Source organism: Homo sapiens, chromosome 12 (genome assembly GCF_000001405.40).
Source record: "Homo sapiens chromosome 12, GRCh38.p14 Primary Assembly".
Lineage (NCBI taxonomy): Eukaryota > Metazoa > Chordata > Mammalia > Primates > Hominidae > Homo > Homo sapiens.
Window position 1 is genome coordinate 2,819,242 of NC_000012.12, and position 17,244 is coordinate 2,836,485.

Here is a 17,244-nt window from a genome sequence, read left to right on the forward strand (position 1 = left end):
ACCACAAGGTCAGGAGACCGAGACCATCCTGGCTAACACAGTGAAACCCCGTCTCTACTAAAAATACAAAAAAAAAATTAACCGGGCATGGTGGTGGGCACCTGTAGTCCCAGCTCCTTGGGAGGCTGAGGCAGGAGAATGGCATGAACCCAGGAGGCAGAGCTTGCAGTAAGCCGAAATCGCGCCACTGCACTCCAGCCTAGGCGAGAGAGCGAGACTCCGTCTCAAAAAAAAAAAAAATGAGCTGAGCGTGGTGGCATATGCCTGTAATCCCAGCTACTCTAGAGGCCGAGGCAGGAGAATTGCTTGAGCCCGGAAGGTGGAGGTTACAGTGAGCCAAGATTGTGCCACTGCACTCCAGCCTGGGTGACAAAGACTCTGTCTCAAAAAAAAAAAAATATATAGTAAGTGCAATGGAGAAAATAATTCACAGAAAGAGCTAGAGTGTCGAGGTAGAGGTAGCAATTTTAAATGGAGATGTTAGGGAAATCCTCACTGAGAAGGTAACATTTGGTGAAAAAAAAAAAAAGTGGCAAGCAAGGGAACCATCCAGATAGGGGGCTTGTAGGTGGTGGGAGATACGTGGGATGAATTGGGACACTTTGAGTTGCATGTTTGAGAAGTAATATGAAGGCAGAGAGCGGATAGGAGCTGCGGAACAGATGGACCAAATGGACGGGCAAGATGCCGCAAACACAGGCAGGGGCGGGGGCAGACTGAGGGTGAAGTGAGTAGCACCGCAGATCGGGTGTGAAGCCGCACTGGCTGGAAGGTGCCACTGTTAGCAGAGGAGCGGGGGCTGCTCGTGGGACTCCAGAGCCCATCTTGTCTTTCATGCCCACAGATGGAGATGGGTGTCGTGAGCTGGTGGTGGGCTACACAGACCGTGTGGTGCGAGCTTTCCGCTGGGAGGAGCTAGGTGAGGGTCCTGAACATCTGACAGGGCAGCTGGTGTCCCTCAAGAAATGGATGCTGGAGGGTCAGGTAAGAAGCTGACTCTGGGGAACAAGGCCCCAGGGAGCTGGGAGGAAGGTCTCCTGGAGGAGGTAGTGGGAGAGCAGTCATGGGACAGGGCCAGGGTGGGGAGAAGTGAAAAGTCACCTTGTCAAGAGAGATCCAAAGACCATTTCAAATCAGGGGCTTAGGGGAAATTGCTAGTAACAGGCAAAGAGAAGGGCATGTTGGGCTAAGAATGAGGAGTGTGAAGGTAGGTGTGGAGTGGGCCGCATCAGGACCTAGACCCCAGCTGGGACATGCACAGGGGAAAGCATGTGGTCTGTGTGGAGAGGACGGTGCCAGGCAGGAGCCCTGGAAACTCGAAATCCTTCCTCCTGCTGCTACCCTTGAAGCCCAGAGGGCTGTTCCCAGGACTGCTGCCCTGCCCCTGCCCCCGCCCCCGCCCACCCACCGCCCCCTGCCGTTCTCTGCAGGGACCCACTTCCTTCTCTCTCCGTCTCCCTTTAATCCCATTCCCTGGTGCAGGTGGACAGCCTCTCAGTGACTCTGGGGCCACTGGGTCTTCCTGAACTGATGGTGTCTCAGCCAGGTTGTGCGTATGCAATTCTACTGTGTACCTGGAAAAAGGACACTGGGTCCCCTCCTGCCTCTGAAGGGCCCACGGATGGTAGTAGGTAAGGGGGTACAGGCCAGTGGATGGTGTGGGGGTGCATGGAAGCAGGATGGGCTCCCAGATGCCACATGGTAGTAAAATGGGTCTGCAGTTGGCAGAGCTGCCTCATCTAGGTCCCAACCCAAGCACCTTTGCCCCACTGGGGAAGATTACTTTAAGACCAAGGGAATCCTGGGCTCTAACTTTGTAGCACCTGAAAGAGGTCCTGAGATTCCAACCTGGCAGCCCCATCCCTGTCTTTTCTGTTTGCCACATGGGCCAGATAGGGTCAGTGGTAGGTTTCTAAGCTGATTCAAATCCCAGAAGCTCTTGCAGGGATAGGGGTTACAAAGGGCTGGAGAGCTCAGCTCACTTGGTCTCCCGCTTGATCCGTCCACCTGCTGTGCACAGGGAGACCCCAGCTGCCCGAGACGTGGTGCTGCACCAGACATCTGGCCGTATCCACAACAAGAATGTCTCCACTCACCTAATTGGCAACATCAAACAAGGTGAAAGTGTGGTGGGTGTGAGGGAGGGAGATGAGGGGTAGCCGTCAGTTCTGGAGGAGTGGAGATCCATAGCTTTCCCCTCATTTCGAGCCCTGTCCTTCCCCTGCTGCTGCAGAACACCCCTCTCCCCGTAGGCTCTGACCTTGCCCTGCCCTTTACATATTCTTCCTCTGGTCCTCACAGGCCACGGCACTGAGAGTAGTGGCTCTGGCCTCTTTGCCCTGTGCACCCTGGATGGTGAGCAATGCTAGGATGGGGTGTGGGGGCTGTATGCCTGTAGGGTCTGCTCGGGGCCTATCCCACCCACACTCAGCCTGCCTCTCCCCCGGCAGGGACACTGAAGCTCATGGAAGAAATGGAAGAAGCAGACAAGCTGCTGTGGTCAGTGCAGGTGGATCACCAGCTCTTTGCCCTGGAGAAACTGGATGTCACCGTGAGTGGAAAACCTGGCAGAGCAGAGCATTCCTGCGTTTTCCACATGGAGAGATGAGATTTGGAATAATCAGGCTATTCTCACATCCCAGGGAACTCCCAACCTTTATCTTTAGTCTCTGTCTCTTTTTTTTTTTTCCTTTTTTTTTTTTTTGAGACAGGGTCTCCCCCCTACCACCTAGGCTGGAGTGCAGTGGCATGATCTTGGTTCACTGCAACCTTTTCTGCTAGACTGAAGCCATTCTGTCACCTCAGCCTCCTGAGAAGCTGGGACTACAGGCGTGTGCCACCACACTGGGCTAACTTTCCTAAACTTTTTGTAAAGATGAGATCTCACTATATATGGTTTCAAACTCCTGGGCTCAAGCAATCCTCTCGTCTTAGCCTCCCAAAGTGTTGGAATTACAGGCATGAGCCACTGTGCCTGGCCGTAAGTCTCTTTAGATAGGTCTAAATCCATCTGAAGCGAGTTTGTTTCCTCTTACTCGACCATAATTAATGCTATACTGTGCTGTTAGAAGTCTGTCATTTCCATAACTTCAGCAGAAGTAGTAGCCCCAAAGAAAAGTTACTGTAAGAGCCTGGAAGTGTGTTATTCATCCCAACTCCAGAGGCATATTTTGTAGGTTTTTCTTGTCCATATATGAATCTCTATTTAATATCACTGTGGCCCCTGAATCAGCAGGTAGGGGCTATACTTTATATTGCCATCAGGCATGCTTGTTGGTTTAGGAGAAGAGGCAGACCTGGGTTTGAATCCTGATTCTGCTGCCTCCTAGCTGAGTGGCCTTGGGTGAGTGACTCTATTTCTATGAGCTGAGGTTTCCTCAGTATAAAATTGCCTACTTCCTAGGGTGGCTGTGAGCATTATGTGAGGTGGCTCATTTGACAGTTGCGTTTACTGCCGAACCCACGGGTGAAATTCCTCCCCAGCTCGCTGTTTGTCATCCAGAATCCAGTCCACAGCTCCTTTATGTTCCTTTTGTCTCTGTCCTTTTTCAGGGCAACGGGCATGAGGAGGTAGTTGCATGCGCCTGGGATGGACAGACATATATCATTGATCACAACCGCACCGTCGTCCGCTTCCAAGTGGATGAAAATATCCGTGCCTTCTGTGCAGGTGACCCCCGCCCCCATGGCCCCTTTCTAACCACACTTAAGTTAGATAGGCGTGTTAGGCATGCCAGGGAAGTGTTTGCCCCTCACTTCCCTTTCTGACGTATCCCCTGATGTAAGTCTTCATTCACCAGTGAGTTCTTCAGCTCTTTTGTTTGGGGGTGAGGGGTGAGTGATGTAAGTCTTCATTCACCGTGAGTTCTTCAGCTCTTTTGTTTGGGGGTGAGGGGTGGTCACTACATTGCCATCTTGACAATTTTAAATAAGAAGAAATAAAAGACAGTAACATCTCCACCCCGAATATTTTAAAGAATGGAATGAGTTTCTGTCATCTGTCTGGGATGTGTGAAGACATCAGGAAGTTCTTTTCCACCTCAGCATGCCAGGTCTCTGTGAAGAAAGTTCTCCTAGAGCATTTTCATTAGTTCCAAATCAGGGGCCTTGGGAGGCAGCACTCACTCTCTGGGTGACTGGGGGATGCATTTGGAAGGAGGGATTGGCACCTAAGAGAAGCTTTACTTTCTGATCGTGTTTTGCTAGTCTCGCCCTTGGGCGAGCAATGCCATCCCTCATCACTCCAGGGATATCACTAAGATGGGAAAAGCAATAAATAGCACCTTTTTGGATGCTATTCTGCCCGGGTTTTGTTACTATGGTTTTTCTACATCTGAAGTGAGCCAGGTCTTTTCCCATCTTACTTGTTTTACTGAGTTCCCAACAGAGAAGAAATAACCTTTAATTTTTTTCCTGACATCAGTGGGAGGATGGAAAGTGCTGACTCGGAGGTCTGTGTCTTGCTGTCTGCCCCCCACTGTCGGCACTGAAACTTCCTGACCTTTATCTCCCTGCCAACATCTTCCAGGCCTGTACGCCTGCAAAGAGGGCCGCAACAGCCCCTGCCTCGTATATGTCACTTTCAACCAGAAGATCTATGTGTACTGGGAGGTGCAGCTGGAGCGGATGGAGTCTACCAATCTGGTGAAACTGCTGGAGACCAAGCCGGAGTACCACAGCCTGCTGCAGGAGCTGGGCGTGGGTGAGTCCCAGAAAAGCCAGTGGCCCGAGTGCCCAGGAGACCCACAGCATGCTGCAGGAGCTGGGCGTGGGTGAGTCCCAGAAAAGCCAGTGGCCCGGGTGCCCAGGAGACCCACAGCCTCTTACCCACCCCTTCTTGGCTCTCAGATCCTGACGACCTCCCTGTGACTCGTGCCCTGCTTCACCAAACGCTCTACCATCCAGACCAGCCACCACAGTGTGCTCCCTCAAGCCTCCAGGATCCCACCTAGCTGTACTTGCCTCATAGCTGGTGAAGGATTCTTCTGAACCCCCACCCTACCCCCTAAAGGTATCTGTGGTATTGGCAGGATAGGGAATATGCATTACAGAAATGCAGGATTTGACTCTGGGCATGAAAGATGGCAGCAGCCCTAGGGTGACCGTGAACTATAGACCTCGCAGTCTTTTCGGTGAAAGAAGAGACAAGTTGACCCTCTGCCCATTTCCTTATGGACCTCACCCATCATGCCAGCAGGGTCATAGGACCCTGGCCTTGTTCCAAATCATCTGGGACATGACCCACTCCCCACTGTCACTGTGTTGAAAACAGAGACTTGTTTGTGTGGCCCCAACACCCATAAGGAAACCAGGCTTTAGGCCCAGGGGAGCAGTGGAGGTAAGGGCTCCACCCCATCTTAAGCTCTGTCTTCCGTGGCACAATTCCAAGTTCTTGACGTTAGTAATTGTTAAAGGAATGGCAAACTGTTTTGTTTTGAAGGATCTTTCTACAGTCTGGTCTTACCCATGTTCCTAGCAACCCTGAGATGATTTTCTTCCATTTACCAAAGCAGCCGGGTCAGTGCTTTCTCACGTTGCCGTATTCTTCAGGTATTAGTCAGCTTCAGAAGCCCTGCTCCCATTTTTCCACCCACCCATTCCCCCATAAAACAGCTTATTGTCTCCAAGACAATAGACATTTAAAATGTGATGCGGGTTTATGATCCAGACCACAATCAGAATTATATCTTGGGTCATTTATGTGCCGTCTGTTCTTGATTCTCTATGCTCTAAATCGGTGTTTTTCAAACTGTGGTTGCAGTCCTTTGGTGGATTATGGCCAGCATTTTTTAAATAGGTAGAATAGAATAAAGTAAAATAGAAAATAGCAGAGTACATTGCTCTCAGTGTAGGTAAGTATTGTTTTGTTAGTCATATGTGCATGTGTGTACTGAGTGCCATGTAAAATGTATTCCTGCTGTGGTAAGCTGTGGTCGAGGAGTTTGAAAGCCATTGCTTTCAAATTCCTCTCAATTATACTGACCCTAGTCAGATGGGTCAGCCTGGGCAAGGGCCCACATTTACATTTCCTTTCTGTAAGGGACAATGGGCAATTATCACTCAGCTCTTGATAGGCAGGGAGGAAGACCAGAGAAGAACATCGACATAGAGAAACAAGAGTTTATTCCAATGGAGAAGCAGCTGAGCCGAGGGCTTGCCATTGGGCCTGGGGTCTGCAGTTACAGAAGCAGCAGGAGGCAGACAAGGAAAGGCACAGCACAAGACCCAGGAAAGTGGACCTTGTGGAGCAAGGCAGTGAGGGCGAGGAAAGCTTTTAGGATTTTGAGACCAGGTGCTATGGCACAAGTGATAAGTGAGCCCTCTCCTTTCCTTCTGAGGGCAGGGGAGGCAGCTGAGAAAGGGCAGGGGAGGCAGCTGAGAAAGGGCAGGCCAGGTGTCACAGGCAGCTCCTTGCATCCCGGTTCTTCTCTAACCCAGTCAACCCCAGGCTCAAGACTGTTTCAGCCCAACGGTCCCAGTTCCCTTGTTCAGGTTAGCTGTACCACTGTCTTTCTCTGCTCCTTTTTTGTTTGTTTTTGGAGACAGGGTCTCACTCCTTCACCCAGGCTGGAGTCCGATGGCACGAACTTGGCTCACTACAACCCCCATCTCCCAGGTTCAAGCAACTCCTATGCCTCAGCCTTCCAAGTAGCTGGGATTACAGGTGTTCACCACCATACCTGGCTAATTTTTGTATTTTTTAGTAGAGATGGGGTTTTGCCATATTACCCAGGCTGGTCTCAAACTCCTGACCTCAAGTGATCCACCCACCTCAGCCTCCCAAAGTGCTGGGATTACAGGCATGAGCCATTGCGCCTGGCCTCTTTCTTTACTCCTAATCCATGATTTGAGAGACTCAAACCAGCCAGAAAGACTCTCAGGGATCTGGCGTCTTAAGGTTCGGGTTCTTCTCTTCACAGTGAATTCAAAAAAGCCTCTGTCTCCTGACAGACCCCAAACTTTAAAAAAAAAAAAAAAGCCTCTGTCTTTTTGCTTTGGCAAAGCCTGGCAGGGGGTTAGAAAGCCACTGATTCCAGGACAATACAAGCTTAAGCTCAAGAGGCCAGAGATGGGGATAGGAAGAAGGCCTAATGAGGTGGATAGTTCTAGAAATCAGAAAGAATGCTGAATAGGTGAAGTCTGAGTGGTGACAACCTCACTGTCCTGTCTGCCTCACAGGAGCAGTTCTCTACAAGGCTCTTCCACACACACACACGCAAGGCTCAGGGGCTCGGTGGGTACAAAAAGCCAGTGGAAACGGATAAATACCTATAGCGTTAATAGCAGAAGTATGTCCAAGGTTTTGCACAGGGTAATCAAACTAACTGGCTTCAGACATTTGCAGCCACAGGAAAAAATAGCTCTCAGCCTTATGAGATGGACATTCCTATACTAACTCCCGCTCTTTGTTGTATTGAATTCTGGCTGTTTCTTCCCCCACTCAACTGTGAGCAGATGTGCACAGACTCCGAGAGGCAGACACCAGGAGGTCCAGGGACATAGGTTGGTGAGGCATGGCGGTCTAGTTGTGGGAGATAATGAGGCCCAGAAGGTGTGGTGAGAGACATGGTGGTGTGGGAAGTTGAGTTGTGTTTGGGGTGGTATTGGGTGATGGACAAGGACAGCAGTCAGCAGAGCCTTCGACCCAGCCCAAGCAGGCACCCCATTGTGCTTAGGTTCCTATCTGTGGTCTTGATTTGGCTTTGCTTTTCTTGGGAGGAAGATGAATCAGAATCCTGGCATCGTGGGCCCTCTAGTGAAAACTCGTCCTGGGGAGTAGGACAGCTGCTGAGAAGCAGAGAGGAATGCGGCCAGCTGGGGAAAATGGGACAGCAGGGGTCAGGGAGGTGATTGGAAGGGCAGACACCATAGTCCCCAGCTACCTGGCTTCAAGAGCCCCCGTTCCCCACACGCCTCTTCTTCTAAGGCAAGGTCTTTCCCTCTGGGGACTGACTGAGACAGCAGTCACTGGCCAGGCTCTTGGTACAAAGGCAGGAAGGGTAGCTCTGAGAACGGGGCTTTCAGCCGCAGCACTCCGTGCTCCAGGTCGATGCAGCACTGCGGGGTGTAGAGCAGTCATGCCAGGTCACCTCAGCCCGCCACCTGCCTCCCGGCCTGCTCCTTTTGTTCCCCCTCCCACTTCCCACAGCTTCCACCTGCCTTTTGCTCTTCCCCCATCCCCATTTCCCTAGACTCCTGTTGAAGGGGGTGACCCAGTTCTCTTGATTTTTCACTTGGTGGTAAGTAAGGAACCTCTAAGGAAGCAAAGGGACAGTTGCCCATCTCTAAGTCACTCTCATCAGAACCTGGTCCAGGTTCCACACCTGTGCCTTCTACTACTTTTTCCCAGTGCTTTGGGTCAGGCCCTGAGTGGGTGCCTTACCTTGAGAGAAAGCAGAGTCTGCAGGCCCAGGCAGAATTCAGGACTCTCAGCATCTATAGGAACAATTTGAAAACAGAAGAGGCTGAGGGTTCCCAGTGGTCACTGCTGCCCTCCTCTTAGCCGTTGCTCCTTCTCTGCCCACCCCATCCCCAGATCCGAGGACACTGGCACAGAGATGGGGGATAGTCAGAACATCTCTGGGAACTCCTCGTGCTGCAGGGAGTGAAAGTCTCAGCCTTTGCCCCACCCCAAAGAGAAAGGTGAGGTGAGCACCAGGGCTGTTGCAGAAGGGGGGACTTACCCACCACCTGTGCCGAGCACACCACAGTCTCCTGCCCCAGCTGTAGCTCCAACTGCTCCACCTGGGTTGGGGGCCCAGGGGCCAGGTCCCCAGCTGAGGCTTTTAGGACCCTTTTCTCTAACCTGTGGTTGGGAAGCAAGGGTTATGGCTACCACAGCCCCTAGAGGGTTCCACCCCATTAATCAGCAGGTGTCCCTCTCTACTATGGTTTCATCTCCAACCCCTGACCTCACGTGGGGTCTAAATCCTTGCCTTCTCTGCCAGAGTCTTCTAGCCACTCTTTTGTTAAATAACAGCTTTATTGAGATAAAATATGCAACTGTCGTCACTATCTAATTTGAGAATATTTTCATCACCCCAAAAAGAAACCCTGTCCCCCACTTGCTTGTTTGGGCCACATTCTTACCCCAGGCGGCTGAGACATCCAGCAGAGATCCGATTGTATTGGGTGCCTGTGTCAACGGCCACTCTAAGCAGCTGGTCCTGGCACTAAGAAAGAAGAATCGTGGTGAATCAGTGAGTCCCTAGGAGAATGGGTTGGAATTGGATCCTTCAGTTTCCCAGCCCATTGATGATTCCCTCCTAGAAATGAGTGGAGAAAATGAACTGTCTTTAAAACTGGCTTTTATCGGGGCCAGGCGCGGTAGCTCACGCCTGTAATCCCAGCACTTTGGAAGGCCGAGGCGGGTGGATCACCTGAGGTCGGGAGTTCAAGACCAGCCTGACCAGGGTTTAGTAGAAACCCTGTCTCTACTAAAAATACAAAATTAGCTGGGTGTGGTGGCGCATGCCTGTAATCCCAGCTACTCGGGAGGCTGAGGCAGGAGAATCGCTTGAACCCGAGAGGCGGAGGTTGTGGTGAGCCAAGATCACGCCATTACACTCCAGCCTGGGCAACAAGAGCAAAACTCTGTCTCAAAACAAACAAAAAAACTGGTTTTTATGAGACTCATACAATAGGGGCAGAACTCCCAGATAAATAAATCAAAAAAGGAAGTGGACCAGGTGCGGTGGCTCATGCTTGTAGTTCTAGCACTTTGGAGGCAAGAGGATCACTTGAAGCCAGGAGTTCAAGACCAGCCTAGGCAACATAGCAAGACTCTGTCTCTACAAAAAATAAAATGGAAAAAAAAAAAGTGGTTATATGTGATGGGTTCATAAGTTTGGGGAAGATCTGCCAGAAATGGAGAAACGGTGATTTGTTTGTTTAGAGGAATCCTTGGGAGTTTGATGGCCTCCTGGTTCGAAAACTCCAGGTTAGGAATAGAGGAAGGATGAGAAGACTGGAATCCCTGTTAGGAAACTCAGATATGAGTAACCAAGAAGTTCGCTATTGGAAACAAAGGAAGACAACTTCACCTACTTTGGGACATAGACATTTTGATATACGCTTGGATATACACACACATCGTTTTCTCATTCCAAACATTCATTGAGTATTTACTATAAGATATGTTACCGGAAGGTATATCAATGAATGCTATTCTTCAGGAGTCTAAAGGAAGTATAATATAACTCTACTATATGGCAGAAAGTTTTATGGTCTATAAAAGGATGTGAATGCCCTGGCCCTGTGGCTCACACCTATCTATAATCCAAGCACTTTGGGAGGCCAAGGTGGAAGGATCGCTTGAGGCCAGGAGTTCAGGACCAGCCTGACCAACGTGGTAGTCTAAAAATACAAAAAAAGAATTAGCCAGCTGTGGTGGCGCACACTTGTAATTTTAGCTACTCAGAAGACTGAGGTGGGAGGATCGCTTGAGTCCAGGAGGTTGAGGCTGCAATGAGCTCTGATCATGCCACTACACTCCAGCCTGGGTGACAGAGTAAGAATCTGTCTCTAAAAAATAAACAAAAGGACCGGAAAAGTCGAGGGGTGCGGTGGCTCACGCCTGTAATCCCAGCACTTTGGGAGGCCGAGGTGGATGGATCACCTGAGGTCAGGAGTTTGAGACCAGCCTGACCAACCTGGAGAAACCCCATCTCTACTAAAAATACAAAATTAGCCAAGTGTGGTAGTGTGGGCCTATAGTCCCAGCTACTTAGGAGGCTGAGGCAGGAGAATCGCTTGAACCCAGGAGGCAGAGGCTGCAGTGACACAAGATCATGCCACTGCACTCCAGCCTGGGTGACAGAGCGAGACTCTGTCTCAAAAAAAATTTTTTTTTTTAAAAAAAGGACGTGAGTAACATGCCTTAGAGGTTGGGAGGGAGGAAAGGCTGTTTCCTACTGGGGAAATCAGAAAAGGTTTCAAGGAGGAGGTAACATCTGAGCTGGGCTTTTGCTTGCAGAATGCGGACCCAGAATGATTGGAGAGCAAGAAGAGCAATCCACATAGAAGAAGCACAGAGCAAAGACGGTGGCCGAGGACCAGTGGGAATTTATTGCGAATGTTCAATAGTGACTGAGTGGTTAAGTGGTTCCAGAGATTACAGGGCCAATGCCTTAGAACACATGAGTTTTTTCCAGAATTACGTTATCCATGCACACACACCATTTGTCTGTGTAGAGCACACTGAGGAGTACTTACTTAATTTAAGTATTGTATTTTGACCAAGGAAGGGGGGCAGAGTAATGGTGGTGACAGATGGAGTTGCACCGAGGAGACATGGCTTGGGGCAGGGAGGAAGGAGGTAGAGGATCCTGGTTAGGTCCAGGCTAGGGAGAGAGGTGCCCTTTCTCCCTCCCTCCCTCTCCCATCAGGGCAGAGCAGAAAGGAGAGCAGGTGAAGTGAGTGCAGGCAGGGTTGTTAATGAAAGTGTGTCCCTGGGAGGCCTCTCACCTTGCAGTTGACCAGAAGAGCTGGAATCTCTGTCCTGCTGGTCTTCCTCCTGCTCTCCTGGCCATGAATCAGGTCCTGCATCCGGGGAGGCTCCCCCTGAAGCCAATTCGGGTTTCCCTCCACCAGGCGTCTTTGGATCACACTGCGCGGCTGCTGGCTCCATCACAAAACAATGAAGGTAGGCAGTTCTAAACCCAGGCATCCAGGCTGCTCAGTTACCCCACTTAGATACCCCAGGATGCTCCCCCCACCCCCCCAGCCCTGAGCCTTACCCTAGGAGTTTACCCTAGGGTCCCAGATAATGAGAGCAGAGTAAGCCCCAGTATCAAATCATGCCGTTTTCCTTGGACACCCATAGATTGCTCAGCAGTGAAGAAATGGGAAGAGGAGAATGGTCCATTCTCTGTTAAACTGACTTAGTAGCCGAAGGGACATTTCAGGAATTAGTATGCTTGGGGGAAGTTTTGTCTCAAACTTACATTTTTTTTTAACTAGGAGGGTTTTTTTTTTCTTCCCCTCTGACCTCATCCTTCAATGGGCTTCAGATCCCAGGGTTGATGGTATGATGAAAAACAGTAAGAAACTCAAGAACTAGGCCAGGCGTGGTGGCTCACATCTGTACTCCCAGCACTTTGGGAGGCCGAGGTGGGTGGATCACTTGAGGTCAGGAGTTCGAGACCAGCCTGGCCAACATGGTGAAACCCTATTTCTACTAAAAATACAAAAATTAGCTAGATGTATTGGCATGTGCCTGTAGTCCCAGCTACTCGGGAGGCTGAAGTGTGATAGTCACCTGAACCTAGAAGGCAGAGGTTGCAATGAGCCAAGATCACACCACTGCACTCCAGTCTGGTTGACAGAGCAAGACTCTGTCTCAAAAAAAAAAACCAAACAAAAAAAACTCTTAAGAACTAGGATGCTGGGAGTCATCTTTGACCTGTCCCTCATCTACAACCACTCCCATTCCATCCAGTCACTTCCCAAATTCTATAAGTTTTGCCTCCTGTGTAGAATCAATCTGTCCCTCCTTTCCTTCTCTCTCTTCTTTCTTTTCTTTCTTTTTCTTTTCTTTCAAGATGGGATCTTGCTATGCTGCCCAGACTGGACTCTAATTCCTTGGCTCAAGGCATTCTCTAGCCTCAGCCTCCTGAGCAGCTGGGACCAAAAGCATATGCCACAGTACCTGGCCTCCATCCTTCCTTTCTGTTACTGCCTGTGTTCCAGACTCCCCACAGCTCTCTCGGATCCTTGGAACACCTTCTTAAGTTCATAACCTGTCTCCAGACCTGTTACCTTTCAAATACATCTGCTTGGAGCTTCAGCCTGGAAGCTAAAAACCTTGCTACTCCAAAATGTGGTCCTCAGATCAGCAACTTTAACATCATTTCGAAGCCTCTTAAAAATGCACTCTCATACCTACCGAATCAGATGTTTCATTGTGACAAGATCCCCAGGTGATTCATGTGCAGGTTAAAGTTTGAGAAGCACCAAAGTAAAACATGAAACTAACCATGTCTTCTCTTATTTAAAATGCATCAAAGACCCCCCACCCTACCCCGCATTGCTTTCATGATAGAGCTCAAGCTTTTGAAGGTGATCCACAGTCCACATGACCGGGCCGTGCCTCCTTCCCTGCCACTCTGTTTATGGGCCCCAGAAGCACCGCTCATACCAGGCCGCTTTTTGCCTCCATGTCTTCACTCCTCTCTCCTCTCTCCTCTCTTCCTGAAACTCCTCTTCCTCACTCTTCTCGAGGCTAGACTGGATGACTGGCTTAACACACTTTATTTGAGAGAGAGGTTGTATCTTAAGTTTGAGATTCTGTGTACATCCTATAATGCAGGATGTACCCTCTCCAGGATACCCTCTCTGAGTTCTTCATGCTCCTCTCTCCATACACGCCAAGCTGGGGTCCCTTGTCTTAGCTCCCTTTTCCATGCTTCTCACAAATGTTATGTATGGATTTTACTCCCCCATTAGCCTGGAGAGCGCTTGAGTCTACCTCACTCATTTTTATATCCCAGGGCATGGCTCAGCATCTAGTAGGCACTCAATAAATGCTTGCTGCAGACTGACTCTTCCCCCAGGCTCTATGCACCTCTCCACCTGCCCTCTCTCCTTGGGATCCTGGGATTGTTTTTCTACCCTTAGATTAATGAGGCCCTTGGGGTTGCTCCTGGCAGCAAGGCTGCCAGCAGTAGACCCAGTGCTGGGAAAAGTTCAGCGAGCTCTGGGATTGGCTGGAGAGACTGGCTCTGCACTTCCCATCTTCCACCTTCCCACGATGAACACAGGCTTCAGGCCCCTCCCGCTGTTGTGCAGTTTGCTCCTCAGCCATCCCAGGGAGGGAGACGATGGGGTCTTCCCTGCCTGTTGTGCCTTTGCTCCCAGAGCCATAGGAGGTAACTGCTAGGGATCAATTGGGGATATCCTAGGCAGAGGGGAGAGGTGAAAAGCCCGGGACTTTCTCATTAGAAGGCGGGACCTGCCACTCCGGGATGGCAATGTCAGTAGAGCACCTTCTCCTGGGGCCAAACACATGTAGGATGGTCCCCAGTAGGTTCCAGCCATTGAGAGCCGAAGAACCCGCTTCCCTGCTCCATCCCTGTTTTTCAGCTATGCTTGCTGCCACTGCAAGTAGGAATAAGCCCCTGGCAGTTCCCTGAATTAAGTCTCAGTGCAATCCCTTTTCTCGTTGGGAGCTAGGGAATTGCCAGACCTCTGGGCTGTGGTCCTGGTGGGGGCAACCCAGGCTGAGAGGAGTCTGGAAAGGTGGAGCTAAGTAGGGAAAGGCGAGGTGCTGCACTGGCCTTCAGGTTCCCGGGGAGAAGCAGTTGGTGGAGCACAGGCCTGCAGACATGCTTCCAACCTGTCAGTACAGGCCTGGTTGAGTACCTCTTCTCAGACTAGGAGAGGGGACAGGGAACCGAGTGCTCCCAAGCCTTTCTACAAAGGATTTCCTCTCTTCCACGGGTCAGAGGCCAGGAATATTTCTCAGACTAAATGGAGTAATAGCTGGGGGAATAATAATAATAGCATTTAGATAGTGCCTGCTATTAGGCACTGTTCTAAGTGCTTTAAATATATTAGCTCTAACAACTCTCCCAACAATCCTATGATTGATTTGATTCTCATTTAACAGATGAAGAAACTGAGGCACAGAGACGTAAAGTCAATTGCACAAGTTAGTAAATGGCAGAGCCAGGATCTGATCCCAAGCGAAGTGGCTGCGCAGCCCCGCTTGTCAGCATTGCCTCTCAGAGGGGAATGCCTGAATCTGCAGTTTTCCGCCGCCCACTCACATCCTCACTGTTACTCCCCTGCCCCATTCCTCTGAGGCCAAAGCTGCTGCAGACATGGGATGGGAGGAGAGGAGCCTGGAAGGTCCATTCCACTCAGGAGTTGGGGGAGCAGCACTCAAGGCGGCCAGGGGCCCCCGGCAAGAGCCACACAAAACCCTGATGCCCTGGGAAGGATGGAGACCCCCGATGTTTTGATTCTGAGGAGAAAGGACAAGTGGATAGACAGACCTGGTCTGGGGAACCTGTGGTTCGGGGGAAGCAGGAAGTCACAACCCTAAACTGGCCAGTCCTCCAGGCCCTCCTGGTTGTAAGTGACCACTCTAGAGGGTTCCTGTGTTCCTGTAAGCCCCCACTTCTAAACAGCCTAGCTCCTCACCACCCTCAAGTTTGGGGCCATTAGAGGAAAAAGGGAAGCCAAGCAATGAGAGAATAGGAACCCTCAGAGCCACCAAACCATGGGAACATCCCCGGTGAAGAGCCTTGAGTTGGCAGGATGACCTCTCCCCATCTCAGCAAGGGAGCGGGACCTGAAAGCTGAGGGTCTGCACTTTCTGGTCCTGCCTCCTGCTCAGGATCTGGGAAGTGGAAGGAAAAGGCCAGGGGACGCTGGCAGGGGAGGGGTGATGCCTCACCAAGTCCTTGGAGGTGCCGAGCCTCTTGAGGCTGTCCAGCGGGAGCAGGTCGGCCGAGTCCTTGTGCAGGAACTGGGTGGCCTGTTTGAGCCGGCGCTGCTGGCTCAGGTGGGCTCGGTCTCGAAGCTGTGCCTCCTGCCCCCTCGTCCTGGCTTCTCCCTCATCTCTCCTGGCCTCCTGCTTGGTGCTCATGGCCCCTGCTGGAGGAGTGGGCCAGGGGCTGCTCGGTGGGGGCGTCACCGAGTCCTCTCTGCTTCTTCCTGCCTGTCTCTGTCCCGTGCTGCAGCTCTCTTTCCAACAGGAGGGTCTCCACGGGAGGGAAAGAGGAAAAATAAATAACATGCAGGAGCAGCCGCGTCAGTCTCCAATTTCCCGAGATTGCTGTAGAGGGAGTGAGACTCCGGCTGGAAAAACCCAGTCCTAGAAGAGAGGGAGGGTTGGCAGGGCCCACAGCTGGCTGACTTGGCCGCATCCCCAACGCTGGGGTCCTGGTCAGAGCGGGCGGTGGATGGGGCGTATGTGTGTGTGTGTGTGTGTGTGTGTGTGTGTGAGAGAGAGAGAGAGAAGGAGAGTGAGAGACAGTGCTGTAAACTGTCAGGGTGCCCGTGCCAGGTGGTTTGCGAGGAAGCGCTTGTCACTGTGTGGGGGCAGCAGCCTTAGTGCACCTCCCAGCGTGTGTGGCCCCCGCCCTCCTCTGCATCCCTCCCAGGCTTCCCAGGACTGCCCAGCTGTTTTCTCCTGGCATTATCTGCAGCCCAGGGCTGGCGCGCAGGCCAGTAACTGGGTTCAGATCAAAGAGGGGCAGCATGAGAGCGTCCTTCCCTCCTCTCATCCCCCTAGCCTTACCTTGTTAGGTCTCTTGCCTCCCGCCTAGCAGATGTCAGAGTCTTTAACTAATTGACTCTGGATTCTGGGTTCCAGGGAATGACAGGAACAACTCTGAATCTTCCCACGAGTAGAAATTGTCCCTGGCATCTCAGTCTCCTTTATATGACTCTCCTCAAGTCCTGGCTCTTTAAAAAATGTTGCATTTCAAATATACAGAAGTTATAAAGAATAAGATAACCAGTACTCTTCACTCATCACCAGTTTAAAAAATAAGCTGTTGAAGCTCCCTGTGCACTTCCACTTCCGCCTGCTGAAATTGGTGTTTATCAGGCCCAGACTTCTTTATATTCTTTATGCAAATACTTACATATGCATTCTAAGCAATATGTCGTTGGTTTTGTCCTACTCACTGTATTTATTCTTCTGCAATCTGCTCTTTTTTGCTGAATAGTTTTTGTTAGTGAGATTCATCCATACGGTATGCCCAGCTCTAGTTAATTGACTTCACCTGCTGTGTAACATAGTATTCCATTAGATGCATGCATGACATTGAGGAAATGTAGGTTATTTTTCATTTTTAGGTCTAACAAACAATGCTGCTATGAATATTTTTGCACACATCTCCTGGGGCACCTATGTAGGCATTTCTCTAGAGTATACACCTACACCTAGGAGTGGAATTGCTGGGGCATCCCATATACAGCTTTGCCTTTTTGGCATATTGCCAGAGTGTTTTTACCAGTGCACACTGAGACAGCTGCACACAGGGGCTCCTGAGGTTCCACATCCTCTCCAGGACTTGGTATCAGACTTTTTCTAGCCCTGGCTTATCAGCAGATTTTTCTCTCCAGCCTTTCCTCTTCACCATCAGGGAAACGCATTGGCCAAGCACCTGTTTACCTGTGTTGGATGCTCACAGGGTGATTACCCCACCTGAGCCCTGCTCCCTAAGGGTGCAGTCTGACTCAGACAGCTCCAAGGCACATGTACTTTCAGACAAACCAGATGTCTGCTGA

At 50.7% G+C, this 17,244-nt stretch overlaps 2 protein-coding genes across 4 annotated transcripts in view, besides 6 other annotated features; one reads left to right on the top strand and one right to left on the bottom strand.

The window, feature by feature from the left end:
- Positions 1 to 17,244, top strand: part of ITFG2 (integrin alpha FG-GAP repeat containing 2) — a 47,124-nt gene that overhangs the window by 6,574 nt on the left and 23,306 nt on the right. The window contains exons 5-14 of one of the 3 annotated variants that reach the window (NR_130744.3): positions 845 to 984; positions 1,483 to 1,631; positions 2,021 to 2,118; positions 2,302 to 2,355; positions 2,451 to 2,551; positions 3,553 to 3,670; positions 4,529 to 4,702; positions 4,849 to 5,011; positions 10,976 to 11,644; positions 12,543 to 12,975. Coding sequence is in view for 1 of the 3 variants with exons in the window: in NM_018463.4 (NP_060933.3) it covers positions 845 to 984; positions 1,483 to 1,631; positions 2,021 to 2,118; positions 2,302 to 2,355; positions 2,451 to 2,551; positions 3,553 to 3,670; positions 4,529 to 4,702; positions 4,849 to 4,952 (938 nt within the window). In the remaining 2 variants the exon portion in view is untranslated. Of the gene's footprint in view, positions 1 to 844; positions 985 to 1,482; positions 1,632 to 2,020; positions 2,119 to 2,301; positions 2,356 to 2,450; positions 2,552 to 3,552; positions 3,671 to 4,528; positions 4,703 to 4,848; positions 5,836 to 10,975; positions 11,645 to 12,542; positions 12,976 to 17,244 lie in introns of those variants that run through there. The other 2 variants (NR_147202.2, NM_018463.4) reach the window with 2 other exon arrangements.
- Positions 295 to 795: an enhancer, noted in NCBI's record as "H3K4me1 hESC enhancer chr12:2928702-2929202 (GRCh37/hg19 assembly coordinates)". NCBI's record gives its function as "activates a minimal SCP1, AML or CMV promoter by ChIP-STARR-seq in naive H9 embryonic stem cells {active_cell/tissue: H9 hESC(naive)}" and the evidence as "EXISTENCE:reporter gene assay evidence [ECO:0000049][PMID:30033119]".
- Positions 796 to 1,296: an enhancer, noted in NCBI's record as "H3K4me1 hESC enhancer chr12:2929203-2929703 (GRCh37/hg19 assembly coordinates)". NCBI's record gives its function as "activates a minimal SCP1, AML or CMV promoter by ChIP-STARR-seq in naive H9 embryonic stem cells {active_cell/tissue: H9 hESC(naive)}" and the evidence as "EXISTENCE:reporter gene assay evidence [ECO:0000049][PMID:30033119]".
- Positions 5,882 to 6,176: a silencer, noted in NCBI's record as "tiled region #8339; HepG2 Repressive non-DNase unmatched - State 15:Elon". NCBI's record gives its function as "represses a minimal TATA promoter and a strong SV40 promoter by Sharpr-MPRA in HepG2 cells {active_cell/tissue: HepG2}" and the evidence as "EXISTENCE:reporter gene assay evidence [ECO:0000049][PMID:27701403]".
- Positions 6,107 to 15,794, bottom strand: NRIP2 (nuclear receptor interacting protein 2). The gene is made up of 6 exons (NM_031474.3): positions 15,401 to 15,794; positions 11,467 to 11,619; positions 9,091 to 9,173; positions 8,685 to 8,806; positions 8,384 to 8,436; positions 6,107 to 8,058 (listed from the first exon to the last, which is right to left on the bottom strand). Exons 1-6 carry the CDS (start codon positions 15,740 to 15,742, stop codon positions 7,966 to 7,968), a joined length of 846 nt encoding a protein of 281 aa, NP_113662.1. The 5' UTR covers positions 15,743 to 15,794; the 3' UTR covers positions 6,107 to 7,965.
- Positions 14,931 to 15,475: an enhancer, noted in NCBI's record as "H3K4me1 hESC enhancer chr12:2943338-2943882 (GRCh37/hg19 assembly coordinates)". NCBI's record gives its function as "activates a minimal SCP1, AML or CMV promoter by ChIP-STARR-seq in primed H9 embryonic stem cells {active_cell/tissue: H9 hESC(primed)}" and the evidence as "EXISTENCE:reporter gene assay evidence [ECO:0000049][PMID:30033119]".
- Positions 15,476 to 16,020: an enhancer, noted in NCBI's record as "H3K4me1 hESC enhancer chr12:2943883-2944427 (GRCh37/hg19 assembly coordinates)". NCBI's record gives its function as "activates a minimal SCP1, AML or CMV promoter by ChIP-STARR-seq in primed H9 embryonic stem cells {active_cell/tissue: H9 hESC(primed)}" and the evidence as "EXISTENCE:reporter gene assay evidence [ECO:0000049][PMID:30033119]".
- Positions 16,021 to 16,564: an enhancer, noted in NCBI's record as "H3K4me1 hESC enhancer chr12:2944428-2944971 (GRCh37/hg19 assembly coordinates)". NCBI's record gives its function as "activates a minimal SCP1, AML or CMV promoter by ChIP-STARR-seq in primed H9 embryonic stem cells {active_cell/tissue: H9 hESC(primed)}" and the evidence as "EXISTENCE:reporter gene assay evidence [ECO:0000049][PMID:30033119]".